Source organism: Homo sapiens, chromosome 1, assembly GCF_000001405.40.
Source record: "Homo sapiens chromosome 1, GRCh38.p14 Primary Assembly".
In the NCBI taxonomy this organism is placed as follows: domain Eukaryota; kingdom Metazoa; phylum Chordata; class Mammalia; order Primates; family Hominidae; genus Homo; species Homo sapiens.
Window position 1 is genome coordinate 232,001,627 of NC_000001.11, and position 20,958 is coordinate 232,022,584.

The window sequence follows — 20,958 nt, forward strand, 5'->3', positions numbered from 1 at the left end:
TCAGTGAAGGAACAATAGAATTTTTAACAAATGGAGCTGGAGCTATTGAACATTCATAGGGAAAAAGATGAACTCAAACTAAGTCTCATACTTCATGCAAAAATTAACTTAAAATGGATCAAGGACCTAATTGTAAAATATAAAACTATAAAACTTTTAGGAAAAAAAAAGGAGTCAGTCTTTGAGACCTAAGGCAAGGCAAAGATTTCCAAGACTCGACATTAGAAGCACAATCAAGTAAAAGGAAACATTGATAAACTGAACCTCTTTGAAGTAAAACCTTTTGCTCTGTAAAGATTCATGTGAAGAAGATGAAAAGACAAACTAGTGACTGGGAGACATGTTTGTAACCATATATATCTGACAAAGTATTAGTATGTACAATGTACAAAGTCTCAAAACCCAACACTAAAAAATATTGAGTAGAAAAGAAGCAAAAGACATAAAATACACCTCACTGAAGAGGCTATATGGATGGCAAAGAAGCACGTGAAAAGATAGTCAACATCATTAGAAATGAGGGTAATGGAAATTGAAGCTGCAATGAGATAACATTACACACCTCTCAGAATGGCAAAAACAAAAAAAAATTATAACACCAAATATTGGTGAGGATGCAGAGAAACAAGATCACTCATGCATTTTTGATAAGAATGCAAATGGTTGGCCACTCTGAAAAACAGTTTGGCAGTTTCTTATAAAACTAAACATGTAACTATGATACAACCCAGCAATTGTGCTGTTGGACAATCATTTCAGAAAAATGAAAATTTAATTTCACACAAACACCTATGCACAGATGTTCATAGCATCTTTTATTCATAATATCCCCACACTAGGAGTATCCGAGATGTCTTTCTGTGGGTGAATGGTTAAACACACTGTGGTACATACCTAGCATGGAATACTACTCAGCAGTTGAAAAGGAATAAACAATTGATACACGAATCTCCAGGGAATTATGCTGAGCACACACACACACACACACACACACACACACACACACACACACAAAAGCCAATCCCTTAAGGTATCTACTTTATGATTCTGTTTATACAACGTTTTTGAAATGACAACATTTTAAAAAGTAGTAACAGACTTAGTGGTCTCCAGGGACTAGAGAGGGGGAGGCATGGGACGTAGGCAGGTGTGGTTATAAAAGAGAACATGGAGATTCATGTGATAATTGAATTGTTCTGTATCTTGAATGTGGTAAGGGGTACCTGAACTTACATAAGTGATAAAATCACATAAAACTATGAAAACACACACACAAGGGGAACTCTGACGAAGATCAGTGGATTTTATCAATGTCAATACTCTGGCATGATATTGCACTACTGTTTTGCAAAGTGTTACCATTATGAAGAACTGGGTAAAGGTACATGAGATCTCTCTATACTCTTTCTTACAATTGTATGTGAATTTAATAAAAAGAAAAAGAAAAATAGAAAAAAAGAAGGGAATTTTTTTAATTGAAAGACTTGGCTAAAATCAATGAGAAAACACCAATAATTACACAGTAATGAGAGTACATGGGTTAAAACCAGCAATCCAAAGATAAAATCTTAGAATGGGTTTTATACAATTCAGCAAATGTTTTATGTTGGAGTCATTTTAAAAATATGCAAATAAACTGAAAACATAGAATGGTAAAAAGATAAGCTGGGTAAATTTGAATTAAAAGAGTGTTGGAATAACAATTTTAGTATCAGACAATTTAGGCTTTAAGGCTAAAATATCATCAACAATGAAAATTGTCACATACAGAAAAGAAGCAGTTAGAAAATTTAATGATTGGAACCCCTAGGTATCTAACATCATAATCTGAGACTCATAAAACAACCAATAAAACTATGGGAGGAAATAGAAGAATCAAGAATTATAGTTGGAAATTTAAAACACTCATTTCAGAAACTCATAGATGAAGCAAACAACAAGAAAAACAAATATATAAAGATTTTAATAACATAATATGCCTTCACTTTCCATTCAGTGAACACAATGCTCATTCTTTTTGGACATATATGGAAAATTTACAAAAATCAATGAAGTACTAGGTGATAGGAGAACCCTCAGATAATTTTATAGAGTTAATTCTCAACCAGTATGCAATAAAATTAGATATTAATCTAACAAAAAGGGAGGTGAAAAAAATTTATTCTATTTAGAAACGAAAAAACATATCACTATACAGCCCTTGAATTAACAAGGGAACCATTAGGAAAGATAATGAAAAGGCTGTCTGTCAAATCTGCTGGACAACAATGCTGTAAATTCTAAAAATATATATAATGCAATTACAGAAAAATATTTCAAATTGATAGATTTTGTGATAGGCCCACAAGTGTTTGTTAAATTATTTTCCATATTTTTCTGTATATTTAAAATATTTAATAATTAAAAATTTAAATAAACATATATTGGACATGGTTAAAATATTACTCAGACAAAAATTAAGAGCTTTAAATATGCTTATTATAACATTAAAATTTCAAAAGAGGAAAATATGAAAAAGAAAACAAATGAGTTAAGTGTTTACAGAAGCTAATAAAAAGTAAGATAATAAATCCAAAGAAATGGGGAAAATGGAAATATAAGATAAGAACAAATCAATGAAATAGTGAACAAAGATCAATATGAAGATTAACAAAGGAAAAATTAGTTCTTTGAAAGGAGTAATAAGATAGCAAACCTTTGATAAGACTGAATAAGATAAATCAGAAAAAGAATAAGTAAAACACATACTGAAAAGGAGATCTACGAACAAGTAATTTTTTAAATACTTTTTAAAAATATGAACAAACATGTAACAATACATTTGAAATTCATTAAAAAAGGATTAATTTATATAAAGGATATAAAATATTAAAATGGCAGAAGAATAAATGGAAAACTTGAATAGAATGTAAAAGTTAAAGATACTGAAGTGGTAATAAAATGTCTCCTTCAACAAAACCCTTGGGAAAATGATAGGGAACCCGAGAAAGAAGCAAATAGGCAATGAATATGAAAAGATAATTCACAGAATAGTGGAGAAATACAACTTCAAACGAGATCCCACCTTTTACCTATTAGATTGGCTAAAATTAGGAAAATGAAAAATACCAAAGTGCCCCCAACTGAGGACTGTTGTTTCTAGTATGGACCAGACCCCATTCCTGCACTCCTGCTCCAGTGCATCGCTCAGAAAATCTATTCCCTCCCTCCCTCGCTCCATCTCTCCCTCCCTCCCTCCCTGCCTCCCTCCCTCCCTCCCTTCCTTCCTTCCTTCCTTCTTTCCTTCCTTCCTTCTTCCCTTCCTTCCATCCTTCTTCCTTTCCTTCCTTCCTTCCTTCCTTCTTCCCTTCCTTCCATCCTTCTTCTCTTCTTTCCTTCCTTCCTTCCCTCTCTCCCTCCCTCACTCCCTCCCTCCATCCTTCCTTCCTTCCTTCCCTCTCTCCCTCCCTCCCTCCCTCCTCCCTTCCTCCTTTCCTCCTTTTCTTATTATATTTTCTTTCTCTTTTTGTTATTTTATATTGGCATAGACATAAAATACATACATCATGAATGTACTGCTTGATGATTTTTCACTCATGGAATCCTCACCATCAAGAAATAAAATACTTCTTGTACACAAGAAGTCCCATTATGCCTCTCACATTATGAGCCACCATGCCTAGCCTATTTTACTTTTATTTTTGAAGAAAATTCAAATAATTGCATAGTTCTAGATTGCCAGTTAATTTCTTTCAGCATTTTAAAGATGTTTTATTGTCTCCTAGCTTTCACCACTTCTGTCATCCATATTTTTGTTCCTTTGAAGTTAATGTGCCTTTCTTTTCTCTCACTGCTTTTAAGAGTTTTGTTCTGTCTTTGATTTTAGAAGTTTCATTATGATGGGCCTAGGTATGTGTTTTCTTTGATCTTTTCCTATTTTGAGTTGTAGTGTTTCCTAAATGTGTGGTTTGATGTTCTTTGTCAATACATGATATTCTTAGCTGATAATCTCTTCTAATATTACTTCTGCCTAATTCCTTCTTTATCCTTCCGATCTCATCATTTATGGACATGGGCTTTGAGAGAATGTTAATTAATATGTCCAAAAAAATAGGGAACATGATGGAGAATTTTGACAGAGAACTGGAATATATAAAAGAAAATCAAATTAAAAGTATCTGAAACTTAGAACACAATAGTGGATTGAACAGCAGATTCGAGACAGTAGAAGGAAGGGTTATTAAATGGAAGATAGGTCTGTAGAAAATATCTAGCATGAAGCTGTCTGGATGGGAGAAAATATATATTTTCATTGAAAATTCCTGATTTTGGTTTTCCAAAAAAAAGTCAAAATTTTGTCAACATTGAATTTACATTCCTCATAGTTTCAGTGTGCCTGAGCTGATGAGTTGTTGATGTGCTCCATATACAGGGATATGTACTCCCAACTAGCCACAGTCACTCCTTTCTATTATCTTCTACCACTGAGGCTGAATATTAGTTGTCATGGTTTATATCATCCCTTCCCTGCTCCACACATTTACATTGCGTGCTGGGCATGCTATATATTTGAGTTCATGATCCATGTTGAAGATGCCATAAAGACCCAAAAATGTGAAAGAGACTTGGAACCGGGTAACAGGCAGAGGTTGGAACTGTTTGGAGGGCTCAGAAGAAGACAGGAAGATGTGGGAAAGTTTGTAACTTCCTAGAGACTTGTTGAATGGCTTTGACCAAAATGCTGATAGTGATATGGATAATGAAGTCCAGGCTGAGGTGGTATCAGATGGAGATGAGGAACTTGTTGGGAACTGGAGCAAAGGGGACTCTTGTTATGTTTTAGCAAAGAGATGGGCAGCATTTTGCCCCAGCCCTAGAGATCTCGGGAACTTTGAACTTGAGAGAGGTGATTTAGGGTATCTAGTGGAAGAAATGTCTAAGCAGCAAAGCATTCAAGACGAGACTTGGGTGCTCTTAAAGCAGTGCATTTTTATGCATTCATGAAGAGATGATGTGTAATTGGAACTTATGTTTAAAAGGGAAGCAGGGCATAAAATTTTAGAAAATTCACAGCCTGATGATACAGTAGAAAAGAAAATTCCATTTTCTGAGGAGAAATTCAAGCTGGCTGCAGAAATTTGCATAAGTAACAAGCAACCAAATGTTAATCCCCAAGACAATGGAGAAAATGTCTCTAGGGCATGTCAGAGGTCTTCATGGCAGCCCCTCCCATTACAGGCCTGGAGACCTAGGAGGAAAATATGGTTTTGTAGGCTGTGCCCAGGGCCTTGCAGCTTTGTGCAGTCTCAGGACTTGGTGCCCTCTGTCCCACACATGGCTAAAAGGGGCCAACGTACAGCTCAGCCTGTTGCTTCAGAGGGTCCAAGCCCCAAGCCTTGGAGGCTTACATGTGGTGTTGGACCTGTGAGTGCACAGAAGTCAAGAATTGAGGTTTGGGAACCTCTGCCTAGATTTCAGAGGATGTATGGAAACGCCTGGATTTCCAGGCAGAAGTTTGCTGCAGGGGTGGAGCACTCATGGAGAACCTCTGCTAGAGCAGTGTGGAAGGGAAATGTGGGGTCAGAGCCCCCACACTGAGTCCCCACTGGGGCACTGCCTAGTGGAGCTGTGAGAAGAGGGCCACCAACCTTCAGACCCCAGAATGGTAGATCCACTGATAGCTTGCACCATGCACCTGGAAAAGCTGCAGACACTCAGTGCTAGCCCGTGAAAGCAGCCAGGAGGGGGACTGTACCCTGCAAAGCCATAGGGGTGGAGCTGTCCAAGACCATAGGAACCCATCTCTTGCATCAGCATGACCTGGTTCTGAGACATGGAGTCAAAGGAGATCATTTCAGATCTTTAAGATTTGACTGCCCAGCTGGAATTTGGAGTTGCGTGGGGCCTGTAGCCCCTTTGTTTTGGCCAGTTTCTCCCATTTGGGATGGAGCATTTATCCAATGCCTGTACCCCTAATGTATCTTGGAAGTAACTAACTTGCTTTTGATTTTACAGGCTCCTAGGTGGAAGAGACTTACTTTGTCTCAGATTAGATTTTGGACTTGGAATTTTGGGCTAATGCTGGAATGGATTAAAACTTTGGGGTACTGTTGGAAAAGCATGATTGGTTTTGAAATTTGAAAGGGACTTGAGATTTGAGAGGGGCTGGGGTGAAATGATATGGTTAGGCTTTGTGTCCCCACCCAAATTTCATCTTGAATTGTAATCCCCATAATCCCCAAATGTTAAGGGAGAGACCAGGTGTAGGTAATTGAATCATGGGGGCAGTTTCCCCAGTGCTGTTCCCAGGATAGTGAGTTCTCATGAGATCTGGTGGCTTTATAAAGGGCTCTTTCCCCCTGCGTTCTGCACTTCTCCTTCCTGCCACCATGTGAAGAAGGTGCCTTGCTTCCCCTTCACCTTCTGCCATGATTGTCAGTTTCTTGAGGCCTCCCCAGCCACACTGAACTGTGAGTCAATTAAACCTCTTTCCTTTGTAAATTAACGAGTCTTGGGCAGTTCTTTTTAGCAGAATGAAAACAGACTAATACAATAGAGTCTAGCAATAGAGTGGAGAACAACATAGTTACAAGCTCTGCCCTCAGGGAAAAGAAAACAATAATCACATAAATAATTAGAATTGTCATAAATACTCTGAAATAAAAGTAAAAAATGCTAAGAGATCCATCATATTTTCCAGTTGGAAGGCAGGGAATGTTTCTCCCAAAAAGGTTATTTAAGCCGAGTTCTGAAGATAATATGATTTAGTCAGATGAAGGCCTGGTTATATGTGTGTTGATGGAGAATGGACAGAGAGAGTTGATCTAGCCTGGAAGAGTTGGACAGGTCTGAGGATTCAAAGCAAGTCAGTAGGGCTGGTAACACATATATGAGCAGAAACTGTGTTGTATTGGGCTGCTGAGTCTGGAAAAATACATAGGATTTTGGATGCCTTTGCAGACCAAGCAGCTAAGGACCAGCACATTTCATGGTGACTTGATGGTGTGCAAATTTGGTCCCTCTGATGAATCTTCTAGTTGAAATAATTTATCACTGTGAAATTAAGTCATCAAGTATAAGATGACCAGCTGACTTTTAGCCAGGTAGACAAGCTATCGACTTGGTATGATGAAACATCACTGAGTTCATTTTTATGCCTTTGTTTCCTCTCTGTCTCAGCTGCAAGTGTCCACTGCTTGGGAAAGTGTGGGAAGCTGACTTGGAAGCTTGTCGATTGCTTATCCAGAGCCTACAGCTCCAGGAAGCCAGGGGAAGCCTGTCTGTAGAAGATGAGAGGCAGATGGATGACTTAGAGGGAGCTGCTCCTCCTATTCCCCCCAGGCTCCACTCCGAGGATAAAAGGAAGACCCCTTTGAAGGTATTGGAAGAATGGAAGACTCACCTCATCCCCTCTCTGCACTGTGCTGGAGGTGAACAGAAAGAGGTCTGTCCTTTTCACATGGCCTCCAGAGGGGACCCTTATTCTAAGGGGTGCTTTGGGACCATGCTCCAAATGGGAACAATAAATATTGGGAAGGCTTCCCATTGAGCATATAAACTTTTAAAAGTTTCAATAACTCTTGAATATGATTACAAAATAAAGTAGAATTTTTGTAGAAGTTTGAAATATAGAAGAGCAAAAAAACCCAACTTTTGGCATATTTAGTTCCATTTTCATTCTAATTTAGTGGCTAGAATTAGAATATGCAGTCTAATATAGAATTACCATATATAGCATACATTATATATGTCATATATAATATAGTTATTATATTCACTATAGATTATATATGCCATACATGATATTTAACATATATACTATACATTATGTATTGTATGTCATATATGATGTTTATATATTTAGAATCTATATATTACAATATATTATTATTTATTTGAATGAAACATTCAAATATATGTATTTATCCCATTAATTGTTTTTACCAAAACCAGATCATAATGAATGTTTATAATGTTCTTCTTTCATAAACACAACTAAAGTTTGGCCTGAGATATATGTATTACAAATTAAAATATGGTTTTATTTAACTTTCTTTTTCTCTCCCCTCTTTCCTCTCTCCCTTCCCCTTCCACTCCTCACTTTCCTCCTCCCACCCTAACAAGAGTCTTTTCCATAAAAAGGCCCTAGGAAGTTTTTCCTGATTTCAGTGCCATGACCTGAGTCTTCAGAGCTCTTTGTTGGCCCAGGTTCACAGGTGTTGTGAGTGTGGAAAGGAAATAGCATGGAGAGGCTGGAGGAACTTGACACATGGCTTTCAAGTCTCATGGTTGATGTTAGATGTTAGCTGTGCTTCCTCCCTGGGTCTTTGCCAGGACTCACCACTGGTGGGTGGGGAAATTGCCACCTCCCCAGGCCAGCCCTGCCAGTCTCACATCCCATCTGCAGGACCATGGCCTTCAGAGAGCAGACATTTGTGTTCTTAGTCACTGCCTCTGGACTGCTTAGAAAATCGATCCTTGATCCTATATTTGGATTCCATGGTCTTATAAGAAAGCAACCACTGTCACTCTGCATCCTTGCTGGCCCAGTCACAGGCTCTACGTTAATTTATAGACATCTGAACTCGTTTGTTAACCCAGGTGCTACAGGTGGAATCCTCCAGCAAAGCCTGGTCTCCAATGCTCTGGGTAGAGGTGTTGAAAAGTTACCACCTGCTGCAAGTGGATGGCTTGAAAGAATATTCTGGGGTGGAGGGAAGTGCCACCTAAGCAAGGGTTTATTCCTGGGTGGAAGAAACTGCAGGCTCTGGGAATGAGTCTTTGAAGGTGTGTCTGGCTTTCCAAAGTGAGCTACCAGGAGGAGCTCGGTGTGGGGCAGTCAGAAGCCATGCCAGGTATGTGATGGAGTCCCTGGGTCATTGATTCTGCTGGAGGCCAGGACTGATTCAGCAGAGATCCCTTTCTCCTGTAGCGGAGAAAAATGAATATCTTTCCTTTACCCATCTAAAGGTTCTCAGCTGAGGCACCTATACAGACAGAGTAACAAGAGAAAAATGTACAAATGTGCTTAATATAAAATTTACATGACACAGGAGCCTGCAAAAATGAAGACCCAAAGCAACAGAAACCAGTGTATTTTTATGCTTAAGTTTGAAGAATAGCAGACAGATGTGGAGAAGTATAATTGGACAAAAGGAGTATGATTTAATGGCAATAAACTGGGGGGAGCTTAGCAAGGCCTGTTTGCTCGGATTCTTCGCTGCATCCCTGTGTCTTCAGAGATAAGGATACTCCTTTCCTTTGGGTATAGGTTGTACACTTTAAAGATGAGGGTGTTATAATCTACTTTAGAGGAAGGTCAGATAATTATTTATGGCCTGCTTCAGGAAAGAATGGCTGCAGAAGGTCAGAGAGACTTTCCTGCTTCTGCTGTTCCTCAAATGCCAAGGTGCCATATTTTGGGGTAGTGTATTCTGAACCCCATCACTCTCTCCCTCCCTTTCTCCCTCCTTCTCTGCCCTGCCCACTGAGCCCTGAGCCCTCCAGGTTCTCTGGGGACAGACTTTCCCAGGCATAGGAGGATTCGTTTTCCTGCATAGCATTATAAGCACCTGTCAATTTCACTATCTGGCTATAAGAACACAGAGCTATATTTGTTGAAAAATAGGAAGCTTGGGGTCAAGGATGAAAAAAGAGTGGAGCCTTATCCTAGGTCCTGTGGTGGCTGCTGTTTGGGTGCTCCAGGGGTCCCCCAGAAAGCCTCCCAGATCCTCTCCACCAATTGAAATGCTGAGGATGTCCTACATTTATTTGTTGCTTTCTTGGGGGTGAGTGGGTGCTTTAGAGGGGACCTTACAGCTTTTGCTGGCTTTCAGTATCATTTCCCTGTTCCTGTATCGCAGTGCTGGATTTATTTTCACAGAGAGGGCAGCCGTTCTCTGAATTCATGAGTGCCATGGATTTTAAGACAATGTTTTCTGAGAACGGCAAAATTATGGGGCCAGAAAACAGATAAATTGTTGCCAGGAAAGGGGAAGGGACTCATTACAAGAGCAACAGGAAGGAATTTGGTGCGTGGAAGTTGGGGGCGGTTGATAGAAGTATTCTCTCTCTTGATTGTGGTGGTAGTTACGTGACTGTGTGTATGTCTAAATCCATAATTTTACATCAGAAAGAGTGAATTTTACTGTGTATGACTTTATAACAATTATTTTAAAAAGTTTTTTTAAATGTCTACCTATTTAAAAACCGGGCTATAGATGTTTGAGTCAGTGCTTTTGTCTCAGGGCTATCAAAACGCAGTGTGGCCTGCTGGAAAGAGCACAAGGCTTGAGTCTGAGTCTGCCGTGATCCTCAGTTAGGCCTCTTACAGGCCGCATCTCCACATCTGTTAAGAAAAACACCACCACGACATAAGAGGATAATGAAAACTATCTCATGAAGCTGTGATGAAGATTTAAATAAAAGGATGCATCACGAAGTGAGAGACGCATACCTAGTAGAGGCTAATTTGTGTTAACTTTTGTTTCTATCACTCTTTCTGGCAGTCACAAGCATCTCTAAAATGCTTTTTGCATGCATAATGCTAGCAACAGCTATTTGTTTGTATGACTCAGTCTCCAGGCTTAACTTTCCCTTTTGCATAAGGAGTTTGGGGGTGCTTGAGATTGTTACATTTTCCTTTACATGTATAATATACTCACTTTTTGTCAAGAAGTAGACATGAGCAATGAGTTAGTGGAAGATACCCAGTCAGAGAAAGGTTTAACGAAGGAAAACTCCCGTTTGTATTCGGGTCCAGGATTTTAGACTACAGAAGGTATGGGGAAATGATAACAAGGGCCTCATTAGGAAGGTGCTTTTGTTTTCCTGCCTGTGTTTTCCGGGAGCCATTGAAGTCTGGGTACTTTGCATTTATCCTGTGGCTAAAATGTCTATTCGCTTTGCAGCTCTGGGTTGGTTTTGCTTTAGAACTCCGTGCTGGGTCTGACCATCCTATACTGGTTTCTCTACTGAAGCTTGATGCCCTGAAGGCAGTCAATTTCTTTTTGACCCAAATCTTCCATGAAAAATTACTGACTTCTTATAGAGGTCCACAGGAAGATGAGTTTTCAAAGCCTTTCCCGTGCTTATCTGGCCAACGTGGTGATGTGCATTCTGGTGATACTTTGTTATCACAAGGGCTTTGTCGTTGATCGACACCTTCCTGGGTCTACGGTCCTTGCCAGGCTGCTGAGCACCATTCCCCCATTTTACAGCTGGGCCCATTAAGGTGAAGCAATTTGCTTTGGACTTTGTTACAGAGGAAGTCAGCAACAGGGCTCAGTGCCAATCTTAGCATGAACTTCCTCGAATTGTAAGAGCCCTTTTCTTTTCCAGTTTCATGACAGCTCTCCTCCAAGCCTTTCTGAGGACTCTGGAAACTATCAGCTGCTGTTGGCCCTGGTTCGTAGATGTTACAGAAATTGAATGGGGGCCAGACAGGAGCCAGGGAAATCAGTGAGCCAGGCTTCCTCCGCTGTGAAGTGGCTCTTTTGTACGGGCTGTTCTGGCCATAATACCTGCGTAATTTTTTTCTTTCCTGTCTGCAACCTAGCCTGCGGGGTGCTTTCTGTTTCCATTGCTTTTTCTACATAATGGGCTCCCTGGACAGTACCACTCTCCCAGACTTCTCATCCCAGCTGCTTCCTTTCTGAGCCAGTAGCTCTCACCAAAGAGGCCAAAAGAGGACCTGGCAATGTTGAGTCATTGCGTGCAGTATGTGAGTAGCCAGTGTGTGAACACAGCTGCAGTGAACGGAATTAGCAATAAGACACAACGCAACCAGGTAGCCTCATTTGTTCAGATTGAGGTCTTCAAAAAGCATTTTAAGTTTACGGGTGGAAAGGTGTGATACCTTTCCTCAGCCATCATTAAGGGCTAACACTCCTATAACAAAAACAAGTTAACGAGAAAAACATAACACATTTATTTAATCAGAGTTTTACATGGCACAGGAGGCTTCAGAAATGAAGACCCAAAGACCCAGGAAAAACTATTTTTATGCTCAGATTTAATGCAGAATAGTCAGCTATGAAGGAATGTGATTGGACAAAATGGGTATGATCTAATGGTTATAGACTGGGGGGTGAGCGGACCAGCAAGCCCTGTCTGTTCAGATTCTTCTTGGACGCTCTGCATAGTATTTATTCCTCTTGGGTATGGGGCCGGACTCCTCTAAATGGAGGGCCTTCAAGGGAGAAGGAAGAGAGTGACCTTTCTAGGTTTTATGTTTGCTTTGAGGGAGAGGAGTCCTAGTTTCTAAGACTGGCTTTGAGGAAGAGGAATTCTGGTTTCTATGGCTTGCATCCAGGGAGAAAAAGGAGTGTGAGAGGGGAGGGCAAGAGAAGGCAGAGAGATCTTGCTTCTGAGGCCTTCCAATCTCCTTTGGTTCAAAGTACTCAGGCATACCAAAGTGTCACACTTAGGGGTATCATACTGTGAGCCACAACATAAATATCTCCATTCCTTTTTACTCAATTTCACATAAAAAAAGCTGGAAAAGGTGATCCACAATGAAGATGTTTGTCCTCCTTGTCTTAAACTGATTTCTATATCTAGAAATGTCTTTATTGGGCAAAAGTGCTTCCTCTTCAGCCATAATGGGTGCAGATCTGATTCTTTCTCTTCTCTGACACTTACTGGCCCTGGGACAGCTGGAAACTCACTTTGACTCTCCAAGGAGCACATCCCTAAATGTGTGATCTCTTGATATCTCTCCCACTTTTGAAAAGAACTGACAAGGGAAAAATGTTCACTTACCCATCAGCTGGTTTTGCTCTTTTTGTTTAATGTCTTTGGGGAGAAAGCAAAGAGCTAGGACATGAAGAAAACTTCTATCTCCACTACATTTTGAAGTTTTGCAAACCCAGCCATCTTTCCCAAGAGCAGAGCAGTAGAAGCAACCAGGATGCAACCAGGGTTGGTAATTGGTTGGTTAATTAAAAAGTCAGAAAAGACAGAGAGTCATAAAAGATGATGCATGCGTATTTTAAACCTTTTTGTTTCTAGCTGAAAACATGCCCTCTCATTTGCTATTCATTCGATATAGGACCAAGTATTTCTGTTTGTAGAGCCTGCTGATTGGCTTTTCACATGACCCTCGTTGTGTAAACCTCACCTATCATGCATCATTAACAGTTTCCACTTTTGGTGTCTTTAAAGTGGGCTGGAAACGTTAAGAGCACTTGCAAAACAATTCTCAGCCTCCCCCTCTCTCTTAAATGTTATTGAATCTTTCCAAGGTTTCCAGCTTGCTTTTTATGGAAACAAGCACTTGTTTTCACATTAATATTTCATCGCTCTACATAGTATTTATTTAGATTGTATAATTAGGATATTTAAATATAACTGGCCTACAGAAGTGAAGAAACAAATGCAACTTGACCAATAGAAACAGAACTGCGCAGGCTTACCAGGACCCTGCCCCTGGCCTGGCCCTGGCCACTGAATTTGAGAGAGAAAGCAGAGTCCAGGGACAAGCTGGCAGGTGGCTAAGAGAGGTGTTTCTTCTGTTCAGTGAGCTGGCTCCTGCTTGTTCTCTCAGTTAATTACTGTCATCAGCTTGTCAGCCTCCTTCACCTGCCCAAGGGAAGGAAGGGGACTCCTCTGATCTGCTGGCTTCTCCTTCTTTCGGAATATGGTGGAACCTTGCTCCATGCTCCAGGGCCTCACGGTGGCCCTTTTTCCACTAATTAAAAATAGTTCAGCGCTTCTGAGGAAAACAACCTCAGGGCTCTTGGTGACGCCGTTCACCTTGGAAATTCCTTGTCATTCACTGGTGCAGTCTGAGGGATCGATAGCAGGATGGCGTCTGCCTGAATGGCAAGGACTCATTTTCTGCGTTTGTAACAGAGGAGGTGTTATCCAATGAATCCTCAGTGGTGTCCTGGGAGTAGCTGAGAATTTTTGTAATGTGGAAAATCAGATAGCACCCTGCCCCCTCATCACAGCTACAGTGCATTTGATTTCCCCACCACTGGGCAGCCAGGGCAGTTAAAGTCAAGAGCTTCCACTCCCCAGGAGCTTCCGGTCCCCCCATAAGCTGGTCGTGAGCTATTCCTGCCCTTCCTAACTAGGAGCAGGCAGGAGATGAACACTGGAGTTCCATGAAGCTCCTGTGTGAAATTATCTTACCTCTACCCAAGACTTACTGCACTGCCTTTTTCAGTGAATCGTTTAATGCCTTCCATTCTGAATATGCTGGTGTTTCTGCTTTGCCAGCCATTGGTCATTCCACACCCCCTCCTCCACCCGGCCCCCAGGTATTTCCTGGAACCATTGATTATGGCAGAGCAGATCTTATTTTGCTCATATGATTAGGAACCTCAGGCCAACAAGCTTGGGTAATAGTGAGAGAAAAGAAGAGTGGTCCTTTGCTCTTCTTTGTCTGAGTGCCTTTTGAGGGAAAGAGTAGATACCACCAACCATAGCATCTCTATCTCTTTCCAGCAAACTACAGGGGTGCCTGAGACTTTAGGGTGGGAAGCAAGCTCTCACTTGGAAGGGGTGACATCCAGAACCAGGATTAAACGCTGACATTTAAAAACAGTAACTATGGTAGTCTTAATAGTTGCACAGTTTACAGTGAAACACTTAGAGTTCAAATTTGTTTTACTATAAAGTGAACATGGATGGAGTTTGGGATTTGATTCTGTCTTCATAGTTTCCCTTTACAGTTCAATATTTCTTAGCTCAAAGAACACATTCCCTTAAAAGGAATCCCTCAAACCACTTTTCATTTTTATTTTCTTATACAAAAGGGCCTTAGGGTTGGATGTCCCTATCCCCAGAATCTGAATCCTTTTATTAAAGGGACTGTATCTAGGTACTAGCCGGTGCCATGAATCTCATTTTGGATTCAAATGGATTATTTTCTCAGAGGGTTCTAATGAAGTCTGGTTTTATTCAGATTTGACTATCAAACTCAGTGTGCTTAAAGAAAAGCAGTTCACATCCTCTTGCATGATCGTGTAATATAAACTGTAGCTTTTCAAAGGTTGCCCTTCAAGTAAACTAGAAACCACAGGCCAATTAACATATGCCAATTAGCAAGCAATTTCTTCTTCTAACAATTTGTTTGGTTCTGTTAATTACTTTTATTTAGAGCTTGTTTCTCCGAGCCACCTTCAAAACAAGCATGCAGATACTTGAAGACAATTCATTGCTTGCTCTGACCTAAAGAGATCTAAATATTTCAGATGCTTTCTTTACCACTGACGACATCTGGATGCTTTTAAAAGAAATACGCAGTTACTCAGGGAGTAACCGTATAATTTGAATATGTGGATGAATACTCGTATCAGATAGAGTAATAAAGATATACCCTTAATGTCTCAATTTTGCCTCTCTGCTTATTGGCATTTACACGACTGTAGAACTCGGCATTTATATGAAAAGACAAACACCATAAAATCTATGTCAAATACATGTGAAATATATTCTTTGTGTTGTGGGCAGGCATTTGTTTGAAGTAAATATTCTTTTTGTAGATAATATTTTAAAAAGAAAGACAAAACCATATCGCATTCCTGAAATGTATTTACCAAGCATGTATTTTGGAAAACAGCCCAAAGGAACATATTTAAGGCAGTGATTTTAATACTAAACTAAGGAAATAGTTTGATGCATCAGCTAAGCTCATGGATGGGGGTAATCACATCTGGTTTACCTCAAGCCAGAGGAGAAGGAGTGAGACTTGACAATGTAACAACCATTATGAGGCTCAAGTAGCGTTTTTGGCTTGTAAGCATGTATGTGTGCTGTGTTCAATTTTATGTTTTAAATTTTTTTAAAAAACTTAAATACTGCTATAGCCCCAAAATATGTAAAATATGTAAACAGTTGGCTTGATGGCCATAAGGGAACACCTGTCCTTTTTTTTTTTTTTTTTTTTACTGTGTAGCCTGTGACTTTCACTGCAGGAATTAAATATTTTTGTGGATAGGCAAATGTACTTTTGTGGATAGGTATTGCTGATGCCTTATTACACAGCCGAAGGAAATAAGGATCTGGGTAAGCAGTTGAGTCACGGCAAAGAGTACCGTATCCAAGGTGGAGGTTCATGCTAGAGCTACAGGTACTAACCCCTCCCCTGCACCACTGATCCCTAGCAAGGGTGGAAGTAACTGATGACTTCTCTGCACAGCCCCCAGCACAATGTCTGAAAGAGAGACCTAAAGGGTAACTGCCTGTTTTCTCAGATTAATCTTAGAATCCTAGCAGTACTTGTTACTTCAGTTTGGAGATTTTTCTTATTCTATTTCTTCACACTCTTACAGACTTCACATAGCCCCTCCCTTTAGAATAACTCTTGACAGCATTTTAAGAAATAGACTATTTAAATCATCTTGATCCAGTGACTCAACCCAAGGTGTAACCCGTCTGCTCAAATTTGTGGCAAATCTCCATTGATGATAACATTTCTGCAAATGTATGCTCTGTTAGGTGTGGAAGCTTTTCCTAAGTAGAATTGGCAGCCACAGTAGTACCTGCCTACCTAGCAATTTAACTTAAACAGTTTCCTTTTCCAAAGGTATTTTCTATTCAGAATAGAAATAATAAATATGATTTCCTCATCACTCTAGATACAGCCTGATGAGATATTGTTACCAGATACTTTCTCTTATCAAAACAACCATTATTATTTCATAATATATTCCCTACCCTTTGAATATAAGCTCCAGTTCTAAAATTTTAAATGTTGGTATCTTCCACATGTCATAGGGAAAGACTTAAGCCTTGTTTATGGGAACTATAACTGAGTAAAAATGTCCTTGGAGACCCTGGTCATGGAATTTGTGACTGTTCTTCTACTGGGGCATGTGGTTTAGACATCTGCTCAGGCTAGCAACTGAATGCTTTTCTGGGTATACACTTTTATAGAAAAATGTTTTTTGAAAGTCACTTTAATGGGAAAATCCTGCCCAACAAAGGAAATCCTATTTTCTGTTTTTAAATCATGCTCCCTGAGTTGGGTGAGCAGGACAGAAATTTGACATCAGCTCTAATTCAACACAGCTGAAAATTTCTGCCCAAACATTCAGGCCTACGGGTTTTGATCATGAGGTGAGTTAAGCAAATTATATTTGAAATATTGCCTGGCTGAGTCGGTGCTACTGAATCATACCCGTGTGGAGGGACAGCAGGGAAGATGGTAGGGCTTTATTGGAGGCCAATAAAAGCCATGTGTGTACAGCAGTACTGTGGAGAGCCCCAGGACCCCATGGCTGTCCCTGTGGCAAGAAAATTATCCCAGATAAGGCTGTTCTTGGCTGCACTGAGGCAAAGGCATGTGCTCAGCATCCAGAAAGGTTCTTCTTGTTGGTTTTCCTTCCTGGCTCTTTATACTTGGGTGAAATGATCTCTTGGAAGTGTAGTCTGAAAAACAGCATAGCTTCTTCCAAGTTCTCATAAGATACAGGAGTCTCCATTCATTACTTCAATAAGCATTACTGAGCACCTTTTATGAGCAAGGTAGGACGACGGAGGCAGGGCCAGGACCTCATCATCTGGTGAGGGAGACAGGCGGTTACACACACAGGGAGGAACTCCTCCTACCCAGAAGTAGGCAGGGTTGGAGATTCGGGATTGAAGCGTTCCTGGAAGAAGTGGAATCTGCAGAGTTTTGAAAAGAGGGGGTGTTAGGTGTAGCAATCAGACCATTTACCTGTTATAACTGCTTTTCATTCTGACCCACAGGGAAAACAATTATTCCTAGGGTTAAATGATGGGACGGATGTTCAGAAAGGAAAAAAATAATAATTTGAATTGCTGAAAGGACCGCCTGACAAGACAAATTACTGGAGAGTCTTCAAAGACACTTTGAAATGCCGAGCAACCTGTACTTTAAATGATCCGTTCAGAATTGCAAATCCTACAGAACTCCATTTCTGCTAGGAATCCCAGTGGCTTTGTAGTGGGTGGTATTTTTAATTATCAAGTATCAGTCTTGCAGGCTTTCTCTTTTTTGTCACATTTGATTTAAAGTACAAATGGGAGCAAAAGTTACAAATTGCACACAGAGAGACACTCAGTGTGTGAAATTGTGGACATGGTTCAGAATATGTTTATTTGGAATCCGCTGAGGTGATGGGAGAGATGGGACTGGATACTCATGTTCTTATTTGGAAAGGAGACATTCTCGCCGCCTTTCCCATGTGCCCGCTTGCTTTTCTCTGCTTCCAGCCTGATATTTTATGGACTTGTGGATGAGAGGTCCTGTGCCCATCATTGCATTCCAGATTGTCATGGCTGTTATCATTGTCACCTCCACTCATTATGCCTCTGAGTCCTGGAGGGAGCATATCCCTTTAATAAGACTGAACCCTCCAGGAATTGAGACTTTGCAGAGTTCTGAGAGTAGAAGGGAAGAGAACACCATGTCTACAGGTGCTGGCTGTTTGCTTCTCTGATTTCTTTCCATCACCACTTTGCCCAAGTTACATGACTCTTTGGCCAGGTGCGGTGGCTCACACCTGTAATCCCAGCACTTTGGGGGGCCAAGGCAGGCAGATCACCTGAGATCGGGAGTTCGAGACCAGCCTGACCAACATGGAGAAACCCTGCCTCTACTAAAAATACAAAAATTAGCCTGGCATGGTGGTGCATGCCTGTAATCCCAGCTACTCGGGAGGCTGAGGCAGGAGAATCACTTGAACCCAGGAGGCAGAGGTCGCAGTGAGCCGAGATCACGCCATTGCACTCCAGCCTGGGCAACAAGAGTGAAACTGTCTCAAAAAATAAATAAATAAATAAAAAATAAAAGGATTCTTCAAGCCTCTTTTCTTGTATGTAAAAGAAGGAATTGAACCTTGAGGATGGTTCCTAAGACCCCTACCAAATCCAGCAGCATTCTCTGCTTCTAGGTATTAAGATTCTCAGGGAAGGTTTCCGACATTCTTAGTAGCCCTGAAGGAGGCAGATCTTTGTAAATGCATTTGCTGTCCTGGGAAACAAGATGGTGTTAAGATAAGGAAGCTCCATTTCTCTTGCAGTTATAACCCAAGGCAGAGCCTCCTGATTAATACACCTGGCTTACAACTCACTATTTTGGCTTAAACAGAAATGTCAGTGCTTCCAAAGCTTTCACTGAGACACCTTCTTTGAAAAAAAAAGTTTCTTTTATTTTAAAAGAAGCAAACAAACTCTCTTCAACAGCTCCCTTTATTTACTTATTTATTTATGTAGCTTTCTATGAAGGCTTAGCAAATAAAACAGATAAAATTAGAAATTGAGGTAGAGTTGACAGTAAAAACCCTTTTCCTCCTACCAGGGGATCTCTGCAGAATAAGGCCTAAAGCCCACTGGTTTGAGAGAACATCCTCCAGCAAGGTGCTTTCCAAGCAAGGGAAAAACTAGAAGTAGTGAAATACACCTGATGCTTCCTGCAGAGACTATGCCATCCTGTGTGACCGTAACATATAAACATCACATACCAGGAGGACATGATCATTTAAATAGACAGCAATGTTGTCCTTCAGTCTAGGCAATGGGTGTGCCCCAAGGCCAGTGTGAGGGTCCGGGAGACAGGAATCTGTATATTTCTTACCTGCCTCTCATGATTTGAGCACCTTGCTCTGCTAAGTGTCCCCTGAAGAAAGAGCCACTTCTCCCAAAGGTGGAAGAAAGTGAGGCCCTGTGGGTCGTATTGCACTCAGATATGTTGGACTCACTGTGGTATGTCTTCCTGCGGAATTTTCTAGGAAATTTTTACTGTACTTGTTCTATACACACACACACACACACACACACACACACACACACACACAACCCTCAGAATATGTGCCTGTACTGTTCAATAACTTACACATTGAACTAGGAGCCAGGGATCTGGGATTACTGACCAGTGGCAGTGGTCACTTGTTGTAATGTCTTTGTTGCACTTCCCAGCCTAATGGCCATAGTGCCCTGCATGGGTAGGAGTTCCCCTCCCTGAGAGAAGTCTGGGCATTAGCACTTTAGTGAGCTTCAAAAATCTAGTCAGTCAACTCCCTAACTAGGTACCAGTGAAGATGCACTACCTGCTAGCATTTTGCAATAGTTTTATCCACTCATGCGAGGTTCTGTGTAGGGACAACCCATGTAAGGCCCCTGTTTTACCTACTATGGCTGCATCAAAATCAACACAAACTTAGTGATTTAAAAGAACTATTTATGATATTCGTGGATCTGTAGATCAGAAATTGGGGTGGGGCACAGTGAGGAGGGTGTCTCTGCTCCACAATGTCTGGGTGTTAGCTGAATGACTTGAAGACAGGGGCTGGGACCATCTGAAGGTTCAGTCCTTCCCAAGTCTGGCTGTTGACTAGGGCTTTAGCTGAGGCTCTCATCCAGACATCTACAAACAGCCCGTCCATGTAGCTGGGGCTTCCTCACAACATGGAGACTGGGTTCCAGGGTGGGTGATCTGAAAAGACATGTCACCTTTTATGACCTGACTTTGCAAGTCAGGCAGTGTCACCTTCACTATGTTCCATACATTGAAGGAATTTCAAGGGCCATCCAGGTTTAACAGGAGAAGTAATAAACTCTGTTTTTTGATGGTGGAGAGGCAATATTCCAGAAAAGTGTGTTGCTATGACCACACCTACACTCTGCCATACCTGGGCATGGCATGGAAATGGCCAAGGAAGTTTTGCCTAGTCCCTCATTTATGGACTAAGAGGCAGGACCTGGGCAACTTTGCACAGCTGATACCCATGGTTCTTTTTTTTTTTTTTTTGAGATGGAGTCTCCTCTGTTGCCAGGCCGGAGTGCAGTGGTGCGATCTTGGCTTACTGCAACCTCCGCCTCCTGGGGTCAAGCAATTCTCCTGCCTCAGCCTCCTGAGTAGCCGGGACTACAGGCCTGCACCACCACACCCAGCTAATTTTTGTATTATTAGCAGAGACAGGGTTTTACCATGTTGGCCAGGATGGTCTCGATCTCTTGACCTTGTGATCCACCTGCCTCGGCCTCCCAAAGTGCTGGGATTACAGG

General features: G+C 41.0%; 1 protein-coding gene and 1 long non-coding RNA gene across 8 annotated transcripts in view; both read left to right on the top strand.

Moving 5' to 3' along the window:
* Positions 1 to 20,958, top strand: part of TSNAX-DISC1 (TSNAX-DISC1 readthrough (NMD candidate)) — a 512,620-nt gene that overhangs the window by 472,974 nt on the left and 18,688 nt on the right. The window contains exon 14 of the long non-coding RNA NR_028393.1: positions 7,159 to 7,423. This is a non-coding gene — a long non-coding RNA (TSNAX-DISC1 readthrough (NMD candidate)). The remainder of the gene's footprint in view (positions 1 to 7,158; positions 7,424 to 20,958) is intronic.
* DISC1 (DISC1 scaffold protein) overlaps positions 1 to 20,958 on the top strand; it is a 414,483-nt gene that overhangs the window by 374,837 nt on the left and 18,688 nt on the right. For 3 of the 7 annotated variants that reach the window (NM_001164537.2, NM_018662.3, NM_001164540.2), the window contains one exon: positions 7,159 to 7,423. In NM_001164537.2, the coding sequence (NP_001158009.1) occupies positions 7,159 to 7,423 (265 nt within the window). Of the gene's footprint in view, positions 1 to 7,158; positions 8,029 to 20,958 lie in introns of those variants that run through there. The other 4 variants (NM_001164538.2, NM_001164541.2, NM_001164547.2 and 1 more) reach the window with 2 other exon arrangements.